The sequence below is a fragment of the Homo sapiens genome, chromosome 3 (assembly GCF_000001405.40).
Source record: "Homo sapiens chromosome 3, GRCh38.p14 Primary Assembly".
NCBI classification, from domain to species: Eukaryota; Metazoa; Chordata; class Mammalia; order Primates; family Hominidae; genus Homo; species Homo sapiens.
In genome coordinates this window covers 139,417,049-139,437,878 of record NC_000003.12, presented here as the reverse complement: position 1 = coordinate 139,437,878, position 20,830 = coordinate 139,417,049, and the positions used below count along the sequence as shown (strand labels likewise).

Sequence of the window (20,830 nt, the reverse complement as noted above, 5' to 3'; positions counted from 1 at the left end):
TTCGATCGCCACTTTTTGAACTTCCTAGCATGAAGTTGTACCCCTTTCCTTGACTGGCTGCTGCTGGGGTGGGGGGTGAGGGTGGGGCTGGAGGACAGGAGCTGGCTTAATTTTTTTTATTATTGTTTAAATTCTTTAATTAAGTACTCCTGAAGGGCAAATGTGCAATCTAACTTCATTCTCTATCCAAAGCTCAGAAACTCCATTATGTATTGGAGTTTTTTGAAAATGTAATAGGGAGATCTAATCCATAACCCCTAACAAATCTCCTTGAAAATCTATTTTCTCTTCTACCTAAATCTCGTATACTCCACTCTCACTGATGCCCTTCACTGGCTAAAGGCCCTCAAAATTCTCTCTACTCCCAGCCATCTCAACATTTTCTCCCCTCATCTCCTCCCTTCCTTCTCTTAAATCTTTATTCTACAGACTGACTTCCTTCCCTAAAGTCTAAGTTCTTCCTCTCTTTCTTCTTTCTTTTCTACTTTCTTGTCCTTCTCTACTCAATTAGTTCTTCAGAAACAACTTCAAACTTGCCTGGTGTGGGGTGGGGTAGAGAGGAATTGAGGTAGGGATAGAATTGAAGCAGGTGGAAAATTGGTGGGTATTCTCATTGGTGGACTGAGGGAGGGAAATGTCTTTGAAATCTTTTATGCTAATAATTGATCATGGATATCCCATCTCATATCTCAGTGGTGGACTTCACAGTTAAAGGGTTCAAAGTCACATAGCTAGTCAGGGGCATAGCTTAAACCCAGATCTCTGGATTCCAAAGCCTGGGCACCTTTTATTTCATGCTGCTGCTTTTCTCACATTTTAGACATACACTGTAGTAGAGATATTAATTTAACATTCACTACCTAATGGTAGGCACAGTGGTCATGGTGATGGATTCCCCAACATCTAGTCCTCCCTCTAGTATTAATTTGCTAGGGTTGTCATAACAAAGTACCACAAAGTGGGTGGCTTAAACAATAGAACTGTATGGTCTCACAGTTCTAGAAGATAGAAGTCCAAGATCAAGTTGTTGGCAGGATTGGTTCCTTCTAAGCGCTGTGAGGGAAAACCTGTTCCATGCTGCTTTCCAGGATTTGTCATTCCTTGGCTTCTGCTGTATCACCCCAAACTCTGCCTTCATATTCCCTGTTCTCCCTGAATGAGTCTCTGAATTTGCCCTCTGTATAATGACACCAGTCACAGTAGATTAGGGGTCCACGCTACCTCATTATGACCTCATCTTAACTAATAACAACTGCAATGAGTCTATTTCTGACGAAGCTCACATTCTGAGGTACTGGGGGTTAGGAATTGAAATATGAATTTTGTGGAGGAAAACAATTCAACCCATAGCAGCCACAAGAGATTGACATAAACCAATTATGTTCTTCTCTTCTTGCTAGTCACTGGTTTAGAAGTGGGCATGTAATTTAGGAATAACCAATGAGACTTGAGTGGAAGTCTTCCAGAATCTCATAGGAAAGCCTTCCTGGGTCCTAAAGAGTTACACAAATAGGCTTCTTTCTCAAAACACTGTCAAGTCTGGGTGTGACATCTAGAACTGCTACAGCCATAAGGTCCCCATCCTCAGGATAAACCAATACGGAGATGCACATAGAACAGAGAGAATCACAGAGCAGCCAAGTCCCCCGATAATGTTTTCCAGATGCCCCCACCTGTGGAATTCTTATCATGTTAACTAATATGTTTCCCTATTTCTTAAGCCAATTTGAGTCAGAATCTTCTGTTATCTGTGACCAAAAGCATTCTAAGTGATATCAACTAAAAAGACACTACTAAGTAGGTAAAGTATAAATACTGTTCAAAATTCATTCAGCCCTTCAGCTTTAAAATGATACAAACCATAATGATTGGCATTATTTCAAATTTAGTACATGAAGTGAGACTGATTAACATATCATGTGATACCATTTTAAATTTTCTTAGCTCGAATTTGCAACAACAGAAAAAGCACAGTTTGTTTTCTAACTCGAGTGTGCATCAGCCTTACCTAGGAGGCTTATTGAAACAGATTGCTGAGCCTCACCTACAGAGTTTCTGATTTAGGAGATCCAAGGTGAAGCCTGAGAATTTCCATTTCTAACCAGTTTCCAGATACTGCTGGTCAGCATACTACACTTTGAGAACTTCTGCGATACTAAAATAAACCTTTGTATTGCCAAAACAGCCTGGGATATGTGATCCTTGTCTGCGTGCAGGGTCTTAAAAACAACTGTAAAATTGATCATCATTACGGAGTATATACCACATACAGACCACTGCACTGAATGTTTTGCATTCCTTTAGTGACTTGTCACACTGACTCCTTGAGGTGGGTTTACCAATCTCCTATAGATGGGGAAACCGAGGCACAAGAGCTAAGTTACTCATCTAAGGGAAAGAACCATGATCCAGTCCCAGGCCTGTGTGACTACATGGTCTTTTACAAAATATTTGCCCATCAGAGACAAAATACTGGTCTAGCTAGAACTCAGGTTGATGCAGCAGGACAACTGGGAAATTACTGTGTACTGCAGCTTGAAGAAAAAGGGCATCTCTGGCTGAAATCAATCACCCTCAGCCTGGGAGGTGAGTGGCTCTTCGCTGGCTCTTTCCCCTGGGGCAGCTCAGCCTTCTGCTGGAAGAATCTGCCTTGGAGGAGAAAGCCATAGGGCTGACAGCGGTGCTCTGCCATTTCCTCCCCCACGCAGTGGGTGCTGCTGGCCTGTGGAGACCTGTGCTGCCAGCCACGCCCCATGCCTCCTGATTGTGCTTTGCCTCTCGCTGCCATACAAGTCAGGGCTGGCACCTCATTTTCCGCTGCAGAGACAAGGCATTGCCTCCTGGAGGCCAGAGGGAGGACAGGAGGAAATCCAGGGAAGCAGACCCTTTCAGTGTCTGGTGAGTCCCAGGATCTGAACCACTCCCTGAATGGGCAGTTTATTCTCATGTGAAATGTCTTAATCATCACAAGGAATACAGACAAGGAAGGCAAGCATGCTGGATTCCTCACTCAGCAAAACAACCCCAATTGTGCAACTCCTCCAAGAAGGCAGCTGAGGAGTTACTTCCTGTTGTTGTTGTTTTCATTGCTCTGGCATTTAAGCCTGACAGAAATCATAAGACATTATTCCTTGAAGAAGCTGGGATATAGCAACAGGTCACTATTCGTTGGAAGCTATTGATAAACCTGATGTGCCAAGGGAGAGCAGAGATTGGCACCTCTGGCTAAAAACATTTGGGGACTGGACCCTGAGAAATGATTTTCCTTCAAGAAAGGACAGTGCCCCCACCCACCTGACAAAACTTTGCTGGGTAGAGGGTTGTGCAGGGAGGTAGGGGGAACAGGAACCACCTTGACTTCATCATCTTTCTCCTCCCAATACACTCTTCCCTAAGGCCCTCTTTCCACTGAGGAATGGACCACAGACTCAGGCCCAAGGTCTTAGAGGATCTTACTCCTCCCACAAATTTCCATATGCAACTGCTTGTTAAACTCTGCTGATTTGTCATTTCTGGGTGGGAGTCCTTGAATGAATGAGCTGAAATTGGTACCCATAGCAATTATCTGACCCAAGCTCTTCACTTTAAAGAAGACTCCCAGGAAAGGAAGTTAACTTGCCCAAGATCACATGAAATGGTTACGGCTAAGCTATGCCAAAGAAAGACCCCACTGAGGGCTGGTGCTGGGAAGAAGCTGGCTAGGGGACACATCTGACCCAGCTTAGGTTTGTGCCTACATTTCCTAAAGAAGTGAGGCAGAGGGGAGGAGCGACACACATGTCAATGAGGGTTAAGGGGAAGAAACCAACTGGGAAGGAAATTAATCTTCATAGAGTTCTACTTCAGTTCTGGGAGCTGAGGTACTACAAGCTCAGCTTACCTCTCACTCTCCTTAGGACCAGATTTTTAACCCTATTTTACTAATGAGAAAATTGAAGCCCATAGAGGTTAAGTAATTTGCCCAATACTACATAGTTTATACCCAACAGAGCCAGAATGAAAAGCCAGGTCTCTGTACAATTCTCTTAGGTTCACACCTCCTTCTCTAATCAACTCCCAACCCCACACCCCATAAGGTCAAGCCAGGATAACCAAACCAACCTCCTACCAGGTACCCCACCTTGGAAATCTCTGCAAGTCAGGCCACCTCTACATCACCACTAGATTGTTTTTCTCAGAACCCCCTTATTTAAAATAGTCAGAATGTTGTATAGGTAGAAGTAGGTAATATGTAGACTTTTGTGTCTGCCTTCTTTCACTTACTATAATGTTTTTGATAGTCCTCCATGATTTTGTTCACTCCTTTTTTTTTTTTAACTGAGTAGCATTGCATTGTATAGACACAGTATAGTTTGTTTATCCATTCACCAGCTGATGGGCATTTGGGTTGCCTCAAAGTTTTTGGTTATTATGAATAAAGCTATAAACATTCCCATCCAAGTCTCTGTGGACATATATTTTCACTTCTCTTGAGTAAATACTTAGAAGTGGAATTGCTAAAAATTACATTAAGTATATGCTTAACTTTATAAGAAACTGCCAAACTGTTTACCAAAGTGGCCTTACTATTTTGCATTCCTGCCAACAGTGTATGAAAGTTCCAGCTGCTCCATATCTTTGTCAACACTTGGTCTTGTCTTTTAAATTTTAGTCATCTAATGAATATGTGGTGATGTTTCATTGTGGATTTTTTGTTGTTATTGTTTTTTTGTTGTTTTATTTAGTTTTTTTTTTTTGAGATGGAGTCTCTCTCTGTCTCCCAGGCTGGAGTGCAGTGGCGTGATCTCAGCTCACTGCAACCTCCACCTCCCAGGTTGAAGTAATTCTCCTGCCTCAGCCTCCCAAGTAGCTGGGACTACAGGTGTGTGCCAGCACACCTGGCTAATTTTTGTGTTTTTAGTACAGACAGAGTTTCACCATGTTTGCCAGGCTGTTCTCAAATTCCTGACCTCAGGTGATCTGCCCACCTTGGCCTCCTAAAGTGCTGGGATTACAGGCGTGAGCCACTGCACCCAGCCTTCACTGTGGTTCTAACTAATGATGTTGAGCAATTTTTTACGTATGTATTTGCCATCTGAATATGTTCTTTAGTGAAGTGTCTGTTCAAATCTTTTACCCATTTTTTAATTTGGGTTGCCTTCTTATTACTGAGTTGTAAGAATTCTTTCATATATTCTAGATATAAGTTCTTTGTTGGACATATATTTTGCAAACATTTTCTACCAGTCTAGAGCTTGCCTTCTCATTTTCTTAATGATGACTTTTGAAGACACTGTCTTTTGATGAACTCCAATTTAATAAATTTTTTATTTTATAACTCATCCTTTTTGTATCCTATTTTAGAAATCTTTGTCTAACCCAAGATCACTAAGACTTTTTCCCATCTTTTCTTCTATAAGCTTTACAGTTGGCTCTTACATTTAGGTCTATGATCTATTTAATTTTTATATGTTGTGTGACAAAAAGGTCAAGTTCTATACTTTTGCATAAAGATCTCCAATTACCAACCCTTCTATTTTTTGAGGCTCCCCATACACTTTAAAAACAAAGTAAGTTATGCCAAAACAGAATTTTTAAATATTGTGACATACTTTAAATGTTCACAGTTAATACATTAATTCTCTTAACCCAAAATTATGAAGGAACACTGATTGTATATTCAATCTCATTTGCTAAAATTATCTTACCATTTTTGGAGACAGAGCCCACCCCCACCTGCCCTGCAAGATCCCCAACTCTGCTTCCTTGAGGTAACTTTCTCTGCATTCTCCAATAGGGCTGAATTGCCTGCAGGGGCTCACAAGATGGCCCTTGGTACTTAACACAACAGCTACTGCTTGTGGTGGGCCTATTGCTTTACATGTAGGTGTTACACACAAAAATATTACATAACATGTACAAATGTAACATATGATTCTCACAACAAATAACATATTACTATCCTTATTTTACAGTTGAGGAAACTAGGCCCAGAAGTTTTAAGTGCTTTGCCCAAGACCACTAAATGAGGAAAAAGTAAAGAAGCTGGGACTTAAGCCCAGCTATGCAGGGGCTGGAGCCCTACTGTCCACACCTGACCATCTTCTACAGATCCAGGCTTAATACCCATTATACTGCTCCTGTGAGTTCCTGAACTCTGGGTTGTGTGACCATTTCAGTTGGATGGAACTGGCCTTTGTCATTTTTATGGAAATAAAAGAAGGGAGGTTTTCCTCAATAAATAGAGGATATAAAATAAGATTATAGGAATAATTTTTCCTCAGGCTTTTCATTTTAAAAAATTTCAAAGATACAGAATGCTGAAAGAGGAACACTTATATCATACATCTAGATTTAATAACTGTTAACATTTTGCCACATTTACTGTACTCAGTAGACTACACATTTTTCAGAATTATTTGAGAATAAGTTGCAGACATCAGTACACCTCACCCCTAAACACTTAAACACGTATCTCCTAAAAGCAAGGATATTCTCCTACAGAATGGTAATACCTAAGAAAGGGCAATACTTACATACTTTAGTCATACTAAATACTTTAATAATACTAATTATTAAATACTACTACAATAATAATACTACTAATAATAAAGTAATACTTAAGAAAATTAATAATTCCTAGTTTATAATATCCAGTTTAAATTCAAATATCCTTGATTGTCTCTAAAATGACTTTTTGAAAAGAAGCAGGATCCCATCAGAGATTGACACTTTGTCAATCTGTATAAGGACACCAGTCATAGTAGATTAGGGGTCCACCCTACCTCATTACAACCTCATCTTAACTAATAACATTTGCAATGACTCTATTTCTGAAGAAGCTCACACTCTGAGCTACTGGGGGTTAGGACTTAAACATGAATTTTGAAGAGGGACATAATTGAGCCCATAGCAACTGCAAGAGATTGATATTGTTATGTCTCTTTAGCCTCTTTTAATTGACAACATCCTCACTACTTTTGTTTTATGTTTTTATGACATTGACTTTTTAAACAGTACAGGGCTATTTTCTTGTAAATAGTCCATATTCTGGATGTGTCTCATTGTTTCCTAGCCTCCTAGCCTGTCAGTGACTGGCTGAGCCCAGGGAAGCAGAGCAGGGAGGAATTATGTGAATTTCATGGTAAATAAAAGTTGTGATGTGTGGAGAGGCAGAATGGTGCCTTGGCAGAGAGCAGGACAAGCATTCAGGAGACCTGGCTTCAAAGCCCAACCACTGCCTACCAGTTGTCTGCCTCCTTGGACTTCCCCACCAACCCACCATGCATAATGGGGGACAGGCCCAGGTGATGTACATGGTTAGCAAATACAGCCTTAGGGAAGGGCTCAAAAAAGGATAGGAGCCCATGAGAGAACACAACAGTAAAATTGAAGGCAACCCCATTGGCCAAAACCGGAATGAATTGAGAAATAAGTAAACAAGAAAAGTATTGCATTATAATTCATAAAATAAATATCCACGATTCCTTACTGATATAAAAATAAAAATTCCAAAAATAAATTGGGAAGAAGGGATAGTTCTTACTTACAGAAGAATTCCAATTAATAAATGTAGATGAAATGGGAAAATATTTTTAAAAGTCACCATTAGGCAAACACCACAGTAATAATTATTACAGGCAAAAATCTACCAATGGCTGCTCAAATTAGTATAAGAAATTTTGAGGAGAAACAAAATAGTTGCATAGTGTCAAATACGTCCTTCAAGATATTCACTAATTATGAAGAGAAAAATGGTAATTTTACAGTGAAGAAAGCCAGCAGATACTGCCTTCACCAAATGATCAAGGTTAATTATCACCAGTAATAAGACTTATTGACATCATGTACTCCCTGATCCATAGACTGAGGTCATATCACCGTTGTATGCCTGCCAAAAATGCATAACCTCAATTCAATAGTGAGAAAACATCAAGCAAACCCCGATTGACAGTTATTCTGCAATATAACTGACTTGCCTTATTTAAAAGTGGCAGGGTCACAAAAGACAAGGAAAGACTGGAAAGACTGAGGAAATGTCACAGATTAGAGGAGACCAAGGAGACATGGCAACTGAATGCGATGTGAGATCCAATCAATGAAAGAACTGGTGAAATTCACATTAGGCCTGTTGCTTGATTAATAGTAATTAATAACACTCATAACATCACTAATAGTACCCATGTTAATTTCATGGTTTTGATCACTGTATTATGGTTATTTAAGATGTTCCTTTAACATTTAGGGAAGCCAAGCAATGCATATATGAGTACTCACTGTACATTTTTTGCACCTTTTCTGTAAGTCAAAATTTGTTTCAAAAGAAAAAGTTAAAAAAAAAATAGCCACATGTGTAAGTAAAGTTGAAGGTCTCCTAGCCACTGTGGTCTGAAGGACACAGATGAAAGTCCCCTACCTTCAATGTTTTCCCCTCCAGCAGCCTGTCAAGACGCCTGAAATCCCACCATTCAAAACACATTACTTTCTTTTTCTTTTTTTTTTTTTTTGGAGACAGAGTCTCACTCTGCCTCCCAGACTGGAGTGCAATGGCGTGATCTCCGCTCACTGCAACCTCCGCCTCCCAGGTTCAAGCAATTCTCCTGCCTCAGCCCCCTGAGTAGCTAGTATTACAGGCGTCTGCCACTACGCCCGGCTAATTTTTGTATTTTTAGTAGAGACAGGGTTTCATTATGTTGGCTAGGCTGGTCTCGAACTCCTGACCTCAGGTAATCCATTACTTTCAACGAATATTTTGTGTTTCTGAAAGTCCAGAGAGTCACGTAATGTATTTATTGAGCACTTTCTATGTTCAGGGACCTACTAGGTACTAGGGATAGGTAGTGGATAAGGCAGACAGCACCTCTGCCCCACTAGAGCTTATATTCAGCTGTAGCCTCTTAGTACAATGTTAAGATGAGTTGGTTTGCTTCAATTCCTACAGAGGCCATAAACCAGGATCCTAAGAAGAGGTAAATTTGGGTAAGTGAAAGAGGGGAGGCTAAAGCTTAGAGCATACAGCTGCTGAAAGATTTAAGAACTAAGCGTGACACTGAGACAAGTAGGATGGTGCACGAGGAGAAATACAGTTTGAGGAGTTGAATACACATGAAAACTGAATTGAACCTAAAATAATAATAGCCAACCCCTGGAAAGCACTGGTTATGTGGCAGGTACTGTTCTCATGAATTTATATGTATGGTAACTCCTTAGACCCTCACGGCAGCCCTGTGGGGCAAGGTACTGTTATTATCCCCTTTTGCAGATAAAGGAGCTGAGGCGCTGAGGGTCGCACAGCTGGTACGTGCTGGATGGAGTTGGGCCATGGGCCTGGGTAGTTTGTCTCTAGAGACAGTACACCTCACACGCATGGACTGCTGCTGTTCCCAGAGCTGAGCGACAACACTTTGGCACAGAGAAGGAAGGAGAATGGCAAAGCCAAGATCAAGTCCTCGTATCTAGGTCTAAAGGAGAGAAGAAGAAGAGGAAGAGGAAGAGGAAGCCGAGTCTTGCTTTGTGTGAGTGCTACTATGTCTTAAGCAGGATACCCAGTGCTTTCCCTGTATTAGTATCTAAAATTCATGCTTCTGAGATACTGTCATTCTCATTTTACAGAGGAGGCTTAGAGAGATGAAGTATTTTGCCCAAGGTCACATAGTTCTAGTAACAGGTGAAGCCAGGATTTAGCTGATTTATGGAAAGCTTTAGATTTGGTTGCTCTCAGTCTCACCACTGGCCTAGCACTAAATAAGCATGTGTTTCTCTCTCCCTCTCTCTCTCTCTCTCTCTCTCTCTCTCTCTCTCTCTCTCTCTCTCTCCTCTCCCCCCACCTTCCCTCTTCCTCTCCCTCCCCCTCTCCTCTCACACACTAAAGTTAATTATTTAATGCCCGTAATATATATCTTGAGGATGGCATTTTGCAGCACTGAGCTTTAAACAGTACATGTTTAAATACATTTAATCCAATGAATATTTCAAGGTAATTAATCTCCACAGCGTGAGAGAATGTTCAGGTTTCCCAGCACATCAAAATACATCTGAATCAGCTGAGGAAATGATTTGCACACTCTGCAGTGGGTTGAGAAAGATTCACTTAAAGACTTTCAGATCTGACTCCCTGGTGTTAACGAGCAGAAAGGCTGCTAAAGAGAAGGATTAAGGCGCCTCCTAGTGGTTATATTTATGCAAGGAGAGAATATGGCTAACAACTATTGGGCAAGAGGACTACTTGTTTGAGTTGGCTGGGGTGGAAGAGTTTTGTTTTGTTTGTTTTTGTTTTTGTTTTTGGAGAGTACTATCCTGCAAATGTGTGCACATACACATATGTACACACATGCATAATTCACATAATTTTTGTGTATCAAATACACATCACCATGGTACGTGGCACCCGTGTTATATGCTACTGTTTTATGAGTGTGGGAGTATGGTGGAATAACAGTGGGTGAGAATTTGCATGGGTGCCTACCCACATGATTTTGCCTGGACTCTCTAACCCTTCTGCAGGTGTTGAGATGACTATATTTGTTGAAGATTTAGTTTGAGCCTATAGAACTCAATGGATGGAGTTAATTGGCCTGATTTCCAACTCATGACGTTAATAGTAGTAATAGCTGCCATCAACTGAAGGATTATAGCTGTGGCCATATATATGTGTGGGTTTCATATGCTATATCTATATATTACTATACATAGTTATAGTTATTACTATAATATATAATACAGTAATTATTACTATATTACTATAATAATAACTATATCTAGTAATATACAGATAGCTATATATACATATAAATGTGTATATATAATCCCATGTGATCCTCTTGTCAATCCTGTAAGAGATTAGTGTCATTAACCCACATCACTGATGAGAAAACTGAGGCTCAGAACTTGAGCAACTTTTCCAAAGTCACACAACTTGTCAAAACCAGGCCTGCTGATTCCTGAGTCCATGTTATTAACTTTATACTGCCTCTGCATCACATTTCACACGGCAATGAACTTGTGCTAGCAGTATCAAATCAACTAATATTTATTATTTACCTGCTAGAGGCAACCTACTAGTAAAAGACACTGTGCTTGGTACTGTTGAGGGAACACACACACACACACACACACACACAAATTATGATGCCTATCCTCAAAAATTTAATAGTTTTATTGAATAAGATAATAAAGATAATAAAGACTTTAAAATTTAAGTCTTTTTTGAAAAAAAAATATTTAAGGTGACAGAATAACCTTAGAAGATAGGGCATTAGACAACACTTATTTAATTGCCAAATAAATAAGAATTACCATGGGGAAGGTCAATTCAGCGGGTATTTGAGCTGGGTTTTGAAAGTTGAGTGAGCGAAAGGGGCAGGTAGTGCTTTCCTGAAAGGAGGCTACTCCAGAGAGCCATGAAACACGGTGAAGTAGCCAGAAAACACTGGGCTGGGGACCTGGAGCCCCAGAGACTCAGTCACAGGCCTGCTGAGGACACTTAGGCAAGGCATCGTTGCCTCTTTACACCTCAGTCTCACCATCTGTACCTTTAGGCAATTGGCCCCACTCAGAACCTCTTTGGCCTAAAATTCTACATTCCGTAAGTCTAGCAATTTGAACTGAGTCATAGTCCATAAAGGACTACAGAGTGTCAGGAAGTTTTATTAGTGGTGGAGTGGCTGAGCTGTCATTTCAACCTGCTCACCATCTGGAGGAAAAAGGGGCAATACCTCTCATCCACACTCATAAACATGCTGAAGGGTTCCTTTCATGGTTAATGGCAGCACACCCTCTGGCACATGCGGAAGGACCAAAGATATGCAGTACCATTACCTAGATGGTGGGTATGGCATTACATATCAAGATGTTTTTCCTAGCATCATGATTTGGTGCCTTACACACGTCACTGTGTAATAGAAAAAAGACGGTATCATTGGGAACCCGACCTGAAAAAACAGCCCATTTGTGTACTTTCCCATGAATGGTTTGTAGTTCTCCACATGCACATTCTCATTTTATCTCCAGACCTTGGAAAATGCTGCTATCTCTGCTTGGAACAAACATACACACTCATACTCATGCACACACTCCTGTGCACATATACCTTTATTCATAATATTCAGTGGCATTTATTAGGAGGTATGAATCCCAGATGATAGCTCAAGAGCACAAGCAACATACTTTATTTATAGGTTAATACAGAGCAGAGTCCCTATTCTGGTAGGTGGGAAGCAAATTTGGAGCATCTCTCTGTCCTCTTGATTACATCTAGATTCTGGGGCGGAATGAGGGGGAGCTTATGTAATGTCCTTGATGTTTCCTGTCCACACTAGCTGAGAGATCCCCTGAGCTATCTGTTAGGGAGTTCACTGTGGAGATGTTCCTTGTTCCCAGCTCTCAAGCTTTCTTAGTGGCTTCTGTGCCCAGTCCCTGGCACACAAAAAATTACTCTGCCATGCCCTGCCGTGCCACATATGGTGCCTTCTCTACTCCCTCATACACCCCTCACAGCCACTTCCATCCCTCTCTGGGTAATTCTAGCCCTCCTGGGCCTTTATGCAGGAAAAAGGCACATGGGCCTTTAGCTCTTGGGCTCCACAAATCTATTTGGTGCTTCTGTGGTCTTTTCCCCAGGGATATATCTAAAAACTCAAAAGGAGAAGACTCCTCTTCAGGACCAGCAGTAGCTTGACTTTCCTTCCCCACCCCTCCTTTCTCTAGGAATTCTTTCTGAATTTCAGAAGTTGGAAGCTTTCAGAAAGCTTCTTCGTGCAAGAGTTCAGTCCAATCAGGAGAATGCCCTAGGCAGGTTCATAATAAGGAACATACAATAAAATAACTGATCTCTGGAGGTGTCAAGATCATACAAAAGACAAAGAAAGACCCAGGAACAATTGGAGACTGTCAGAGAACAGGGAGAAATGACAATCAAATACAATGTGGTATGTTGAATAGTATCCTGGAACAACAAAAACCAAAAAAAAAAAAAAAATACATTAGTGGAGGCCAGGCGCTACGGTAGCTCATGCCTGTAATCCCAACACTTTGGGAGACCGAGGGGGGCGGATCACCTGAGGTCAGGAGTTTGAGACCAGCCTGGCCAACATGGCAAAACCCCATCTCTACTAAATACACAAAATTTAGCCAGGCATGATAGCACATGCCTATAGCCCCGACTACTCGGGAAGCTGAGACAGGAGAATCACTTGAACCTGGAGGCGGAGGTTGCAGTGAGCCAAGATCACGCGACTGCACTCCAGCCTTGGTTAATGGTATTGTGCCAATGTTAATTTCCCAGTTCTGATCATTGTTCTATGTTTACACAAGATGTTAACAATTGTGATAGTATAGGTGAAAAATATATAAAAACTCTGTACTATTTTGCAATTTTTCAGTAGCCACATGTTCATTGCTAGTACATAGCAATAAATTCATTTTCGTATGTTCATCTTGTATCCTACAAGTTTGCTAAACTCACTTATTAGTTTTTATGTAGATTACTTGGGATTTGCTGTATAGACTACCATGTCATTTGCAAACAGGGACAGCTTTATTTCTCCTCTCTAATATGTATGCTTTCTATTTCCTTTTATTGCTTTTTTGCTTGGGTTAAAACGCCTATCACTGTGTTGAATAAGAGTGATGAGAGTGGAGATCCTTGTCTCGTTCCTGATCATAGCGGGAAAGCACATATTGTGTCATTATTGTATTTTTCAGTTCTAAAATTTCCATTTGGTTCTTCTTTATATCTTTTATTTCTTTGCTGATACTTTCTTTTTACTTTTCTAAGACTTTTAACTTTTGTTTCAAGTATGTTCATTAATGGCTCATTGAAACACTTATGATGGCTGTTATAAAATCTTTGTCATATAATTCTAAAATTTCTGGCATCATGGTATTGACATCTATTGACTGTCTTTTTCATTCAATTTTAAATCTTCCTGGTTCTTGATGTGACAAGTGATTTTCAACAGAAACCTGATCGTTTCTATTGAAATGATCTTTATCTTATCTGAACCTTCTGTTTTAGCTGACTTCTTCTGACACACTGCTCCAGCAAGGTGGTAAGGGGTGGAAGGGCATCTCATTTTTGCCAGGAGTAGGTTCCCCGCTCATCCTCCATGGGCACTTGACAGGATAAGGGATTCTTTGCTACTGCTAGGTGGGATTAGAAGTTCCAGCTTCCCACAAGGCCTCTCTACTGAGACTTCCCTAGCTGGGAGGAGTAGGAGTACCTTATTACTATTCCCCACATGGCCCCTGCTGACGCCATGCAGGTGGCTGAGAGGGTGGCTTTCTTACTGCTAGGCCTTCTCTATACTAGTCCACTGGGATGATGGAGGAGCACCTCATTACTGATAGTTTAGGGAAGAAGTCCAGGCTTCCCACATGGTCTCCACTGACACTGTGGAAGGGTGGGTCTCGTTATCACCCAGTGGAGATTAAAGTCCCAACTCTCTACTTGGCCTTCTCTGGCACCACCCCAGTAGGGGAGTTGGGACAGTTCATCACAGCTAGGTGAGGGTGGACATTTAAGCTCATAACTTGGTCTTTGTTGGCATAAGTGGGGTGGAGCAGCATTTTTTTCCTTTGGTGCTTGGCTGGAGTACAGAAATTATTACAGTTATCGTCTAAAAGTTTTCTGCCTTGCTAGGCTGCCTTTTCCTGGTCCACTGGTTAATGAGAACAGGCTTTTATTTGGGCTACGTTTGTTTGTGTCCATTGGTGTTTCTATGTTGCTGACTTCTTCAGCTCCAAGTCTGGGAAATACAGTGCAAAAAAGAAAACCCAGGGAACTCACCATTGTGTCATTATTTGGGTTCTGAAGTCCCTAGATGGTCTTTTATGGTCTTTTATACTTATGGAGAGAAATAGGTGGAAATATGTCTCCTCCATGTTCCTGGAAGTGAAAGTAAAAAACTGATTTTACAAATTTGAAAACATCTTGAATCATTAGGAGTTCTCGAGTCTATGTCCTGAGTCCTTTCTTTCCCTACCCCCACTAGACTAGAAGGGACACCTTGTGTATCTGTTTTCACCAATATATCTTGTCCCTGCGGTACTAATTATAGAATAGCACCATAAATAAAAGGAGAGGGGGAGGGGAGTAAGAGCACAAACGGTATGTGGAAATATCAGGTGCCAAAAAATTAGGTTAATAGTTTTAAAAGATACCCTCATCTCAAATATATTATCTTTATATCCTTTGCAGCAATATGAGTTAGGTGTTATTATCATTTTACACTGAAAGACTGAGGTTGCTGAAGGTGGCAAACTTCTGTATGTCAAGAAGGCATGAAGAGATGAAACCAGCTAAGTCTATCCTTTTTATTAGGTAAGCAAAGGTTTTCCAGAACCCCTCACCAGCAGACTTCTACTTGCATCTCACTACTACAACAACGATGTCACATGGCCATCCCTCGCTGCAAGCAAATATGGAAGAGCTAGTGAATGTTTCAAGCGGATGGCAATGAGGAGAAGGTTCAGAATGGCTGTTGGATCCACCCCTCTTCAGTTTTGCCATAATCTGTAACTATTAATAAGGAGCCTCCTTCCTAGTCAGGTTGACCCAAATCTCTGGAAAGCCTACTGCACTTTTCAAAAGCATAGTCAATATGCTTTCATATTTGGAAACTTTAAAAATGGATAATATGTATAAAGAAAATTAAACTTAATATCTACTTGATGTCTGGAAACCTGTGAAAGATGTAGTGTTTAATATATGGGGCAGAATTTTCACATTTAACCAAAGGGGCATGAATTTAAACAGGTTAAAAAGCATTGTATTAAGAAGTGAGCACTGGCCGGGCGCAGTGGCTAACACCTATAATCCCAGCACTTTGGGAGGCCGAGGCGGGCAGATCACCTGAGGTCAGGAGTTCGAGACCAACCTGACCAACATGGTGAAACCTCATCTCTACTAAAAATGCAAAAATTAGCTGGGTGTGGTGGCAGGCGCCTGTAATCCCAGCTACTCGGGAAGCTGAGGTGAGAGAATCGCTTGAACCTGGGAGGCGGAGGTTGCAGTGAGCCAAGATTGTGCCAGTGCACTCCAGCCTGAGCAAGAAGAGAGAAACTCTGTTTAAAAAAAAAAAAAAAAAGTGAGCACCATGGGCACTATTAAGAGGCACTACCCAATACCCTAAGGTTACAGGAACTCCACTGGCCACATACAAAGATAAGCTGACTACCGTCTTTGTCAGCTGCAACTTATCTATTGAAGAAGGCCATGTTCTCTGGACCTGTTGAGTGTCAAGCTGCAAGGTGTCATAAATAGTTTGGTGGCCCTGTTAGTGTTAGCTGTTCTTAAAGTGACAAGGAGATCCACAGGGGTAGGGAGAGAGGAAGACACATGCTGTCAGCCACAGCCAGGGCTAAATGCCTTGCTGGCAGCATTTTCCTTCAGGGTTAACCAGCACACAGAGTAGCCAAGCTCAGGTAATTTTAGGAAAAGATCTTCCACTCCACATGATTGCTAATTGCCTACAAAGCAAAGCACAGTAGAAATAGCAGGCAGATATGAAACTCCAAATGTTGGTGATAACTGTATTTAATCTCTCCTAAAGGAACACTAAAGAGACTTTAATACTTTTGTTGGGGGGGAAATCCAACGTGTGAAAAGAGAAACAGCAATTGCTGACAGAGTCACTTTCCACCTGAAGGAACTGTGCCAAAATCAATTTCTAATAGGAGGGAAGGGTAATGAGAGTGCATTGTGGATTACAGTCACATTCTACATCTCTAAAAGCTTCTCTGGACAGACTGTAAATTACATTGACCTTAAAGAAAATGTTCACACTTTGGTTTTTATGAACATTCCACCTGGATAGTGTGACCTGGCTTTAGATAAAATAAGAAATAAACCAAGAAACCAACAGCCATACAGAGCCAGCAGTCAGAACTGGTTTGATTATTGATTCTGACTGTTTTCTTCCTGCCCATATATCTAGAGAGCAAAGAGCATTATTTCCATAAATGATATCCAAACCCAGGTCCAATTTGGAATAGCTATTTGATATCCCAACCTTGCTTTGACAATTGCTAAAATCAATGTGATATTTGGGGCATTAAAAAAAACAGACACCAACTCTGGAAAACTTAAGCCTAAAAGGTATGTATCAAAAGTATATTAGCTGGGGAACAAGGCAGAGCCATGATCCTACCACAGGATCTGTTTGCTCAGCACAGCATCATGGGCGCTACAAGCACTATGGGTATCGCTGCCTCTAAATCTTCTCCACTGGTGCTGTTGCATTTCACTGCCCTGGACATGCTCTCTATGCTACCACTCTGCTGCAAATTACCACCAGCTGACCAGCCTCTCAAGATTCAGTTCTGGCAGGAACACCTATAAGGTGCTACTACAACAACCTATAAGGTTGTACTGAGACCACATGACCACACTTAAGCACAAGGTGCCAGGGTATGGGGAATTCTCAATACAGGAAGGGTATACTGGGCAGCCAGAACAACAAATCCACTGTAAATGAGTTTAAAAAAATAAAGGGCCACTCCTATATGATATCCAAATTTATAAATATATAATACTATATATGATATTATTTATTATATTCCATATACATATATATACACACACACACATACATAGATACATTCTAAAAAAAATTAGTGTTTTCTGGAAATCAATCAATATTTATAGACAGGGTTACCATGAGTAGGTTTGGGTCCTGTGAAGACCTTATTTTCAAGACCTCAGCAGTAGAAGACAGGCTAAAAATCTTTACATGGGAGTTGCACTGGGTCCTTTTCCAGACTTCCGGGCTCCAGTGATTTGTACCAGTTCCCTGCCCATTACACCTTCACCCCATCTTCTAGTCCACTTTTTCTTGACTCTTTTTTTTAGACATTTACTTCTGACCAAAGTGTTATAGGAGACACAACATAGAAAGAAGAGAAGAGAACTAACTTTTGCAGAATGTTTATTTAATGAGTATTTTAGGAGCCTACTTAGCTTAACATTATCCTTATAGGAGGTAGAGCTGTAACTTTACAACACCCATCTGGGTTTAAGGCCCGGCTCTACCAGATATTGTGACCTTGGGCAAGTTATTTAACCTTTGTAACCACCATATTTCTCATCATAAAATGGGAAGCAAGATGGCAGAATACAAGGCTCCACCTATTGTCCCACTTGCAAGGAATCCAAGTTAACAACTATATACACGAGCAAAGCACCTCCATAAGAACCACAAATCAGGTGAGCACTCATAGTACCTGGTTTTAACTTCATATCACTGAAAGAGGCACTGAAGAGGTAGGAAAAACAGTCTTGAAGCCCCGACACCATCCTTCCCTCATCCGCAGCAGTGCAGCATGGTGTGGAGAGTATTTCTGGGTGCTGGGGAGAGGGAGAGCATAGCAAGTGTGAGGCATTGATGAACTCAAGGCTGTCTGTTAGACCAGAAAGAAAAACCAAACCAAACTCAGCTTATATCCACCCACAGAGGAAGCATTTGGACCAGCCCTAGCCAGAGGGGAATCACTAATCCCCAGAGGTCAATTGCCATGATGGGCTAAAGGGCTCTGGGTCTCTAAGTAAATTTGAAAGGCTGTCTAGGCCATAAGGACTGAACTCTTAGGTGAGTGGTAGTGCTGAACTGGGTGGACTTGGGGGCATGTGACTACTGAGACACCAGCAGGGATAGCTAAGAAAGTGCTGGCATCACCCCTCCCCTAACCCCGGCTGCACAACTCATGGCTCCAAAAGAGAGCCCTTCCTTTCACTTGAGGAGAGGAGAGAGAAGAGTGGAGGGGACTGTGTCTTGTATCTTTGATCCCACAGCAGAATAGGGCACTGGTCAGAGTCATGAGGCCCCTGTTCCAAGCCCTAGCTCCTAAATGACATTTCCAGAAACACCCTGGGGCAGAAAGGAATCTGCTGCCTTGAAGGGAAGAACCCAGTCCTGGCAGCATTGATCACATGCTAACTGAAGAGCCTTTGGGTCCTGAATAACCAGCAGTGATGCCCAGGTACTATGTTGAAGGCCTTGGGTGAGCCTCTGAAACTTGCTGGCTTCAGGTACCAGCTTGACCACAGGGGAGTAGAGCACCAGGGGGGCTCTTGGGGTCCCCGATTCAAAGACTTGACTCTTGGATGGCATTCTGGACCCACCCTGGGCCAGAAGGGAGCCCATTGCTCTGAAGGGTGGGTCCCAGGAAAGACAGCATTCACCACAAGCTGACTGAAGAGCCCTTGGGTCTTAAGGGAACATCAGTGGCAGTCTGGTAGAACTCCCCATGGCCTGTAATGGTGGTAGCTAGAGGATGAAGCTTTTCTGCCTTTGTAAAGAGGAGGGAAGAATGGGAAGGACTGCCATCCTGTGGCTTGATGGCCAGCTCAGCCACAATACAATAGAATACCAGGTAGACTTCTAAGGATTTTGACTCTAGTCTCTGACCCCAGATGGCACCTCTAGACCCATCTGGGGCCTGGGGGGATTCACCAACCTGGACACAAGCCTGGCTGGCTTTGCTACCTGTGATTGTAAAGCCACAAGGCCTTGAGCAAACATAGGCAATAGCCAGGGAGTGGTTCAGCAGGCCTTGGGTGAGACCCACTACTGTGCTGGCTTCAGGTCTGACCCAGCGAGTCATAGTGGTGGTGGCTGCAGGTGTGCATGTGTCACTCCACACCCAGATTTAGGTGGCTCAGAACTGAAAGAGAGAGACACGGTTTGCTTGGGAAAAAGTAAGGCAAGAGAACAAGAATCTCTGCCTGGTAATACAGATAATTCTTCCAGATCTTGTCCAAGACCATCAAGGTGGTACCTCTATGAGTCTTCAAGAACTATAGAATTACTAAGCATGGGGTGCCCCCTAAAGCAGATACAGCTTAGATCTCAACACCCAAGTCCTTTCAAATATCTGAAAAATCTTCTCAACAAGTACAGGTACAAAGAAGCCCAGACAGTTAAAACTATAATAAATACCTAACTCCTCAATGCCTAGACATCTACACGTATAAAGATAATCCAGGAAAACATGACCTCACCAAATGAACTAAATAAGGCACCAGGGAGCAATCCTGGAGAAACATAAATATGTTACCTTTAAGACAGAAAATTCAAAATAGCTGTGTTGAGGAAACTCAAATTCAAGATAACACAGAGATGGAATTCAGAATTCTATCAGCTAGATTTCACAAAGAGATTGAAATAAAAAGAATCAAGCAGAAATTCTGGAGCAAAAAAATGCAGTTGGCACACTGAACAATGCATTAGAGTCCTTTAATAGCAGAATGAATCAAGCAGAAGAAAAAAATTAGTGAACTTAAAGACAAATTATTTGAAAATACACCATCAGAGGAGACCAAAAAAAGAATAAAAAACAATGAAACATGCCTACAGAACCTAATAAATAGCCTCGAAAGGGCAAATCTAAGAGTTATTTGTCTTAAAGAGAAGGTAGAGAAAGAGATAGGGGTAGAAAGTTTATTCAAAGGGATAACAACAGAAAACTTCCCAAACCTAGAGAAAGATATTAAATATCCAAGTACAAGAAGGCTGTAGAATATCAAGCAGATTTAACCCAAAGAAGACTACCTCAAGTTGTTTAATAATCAAACTCCCAAGGATCAAGGATAAAGAAAGGATCTTAAAAGCAGCAAGAGAAAAGAAACAAATATCATACAATGGAGCTCCCATACATCTGGCTGCAGACTTCTCAGTGGAAACCTTACAGGCCAGGAGACAGTGGCATGACATATTTAAAGGGCTGAAGGAAAATAACTTTTGCCCTAGAATAATATATCTTATGAAAAACTTTTCAGACATGAAGGAGAAATGAAGACTTTCTCAGACAAAAAAAGCTGAAGGATTTCATCAACACCAGATCTGTCCTATAAGAA

At 41.4% G+C, this 20,830-nt stretch overlaps 1 long non-coding RNA gene across 2 annotated transcripts in view; it reads right to left on the bottom strand.

The window, feature by feature from the left end:
- Positions 1–20,830, bottom strand: part of COPB2-DT (COPB2 divergent transcript) — a 193,517-nt gene that overhangs the window by 145,441 nt on the left and 27,246 nt on the right. For both annotated transcript variants that reach the window (NR_121609.1, NR_121608.1), the window contains exons 2-3: positions 18,199–18,322; positions 14,765–14,863 (exon numbers count right to left, since the gene is read on the bottom strand). This is a non-coding gene — a long non-coding RNA (COPB2 divergent transcript). The remainder of the gene's footprint in view (positions 1–14,764; positions 14,864–18,198; positions 18,323–20,830) is intronic.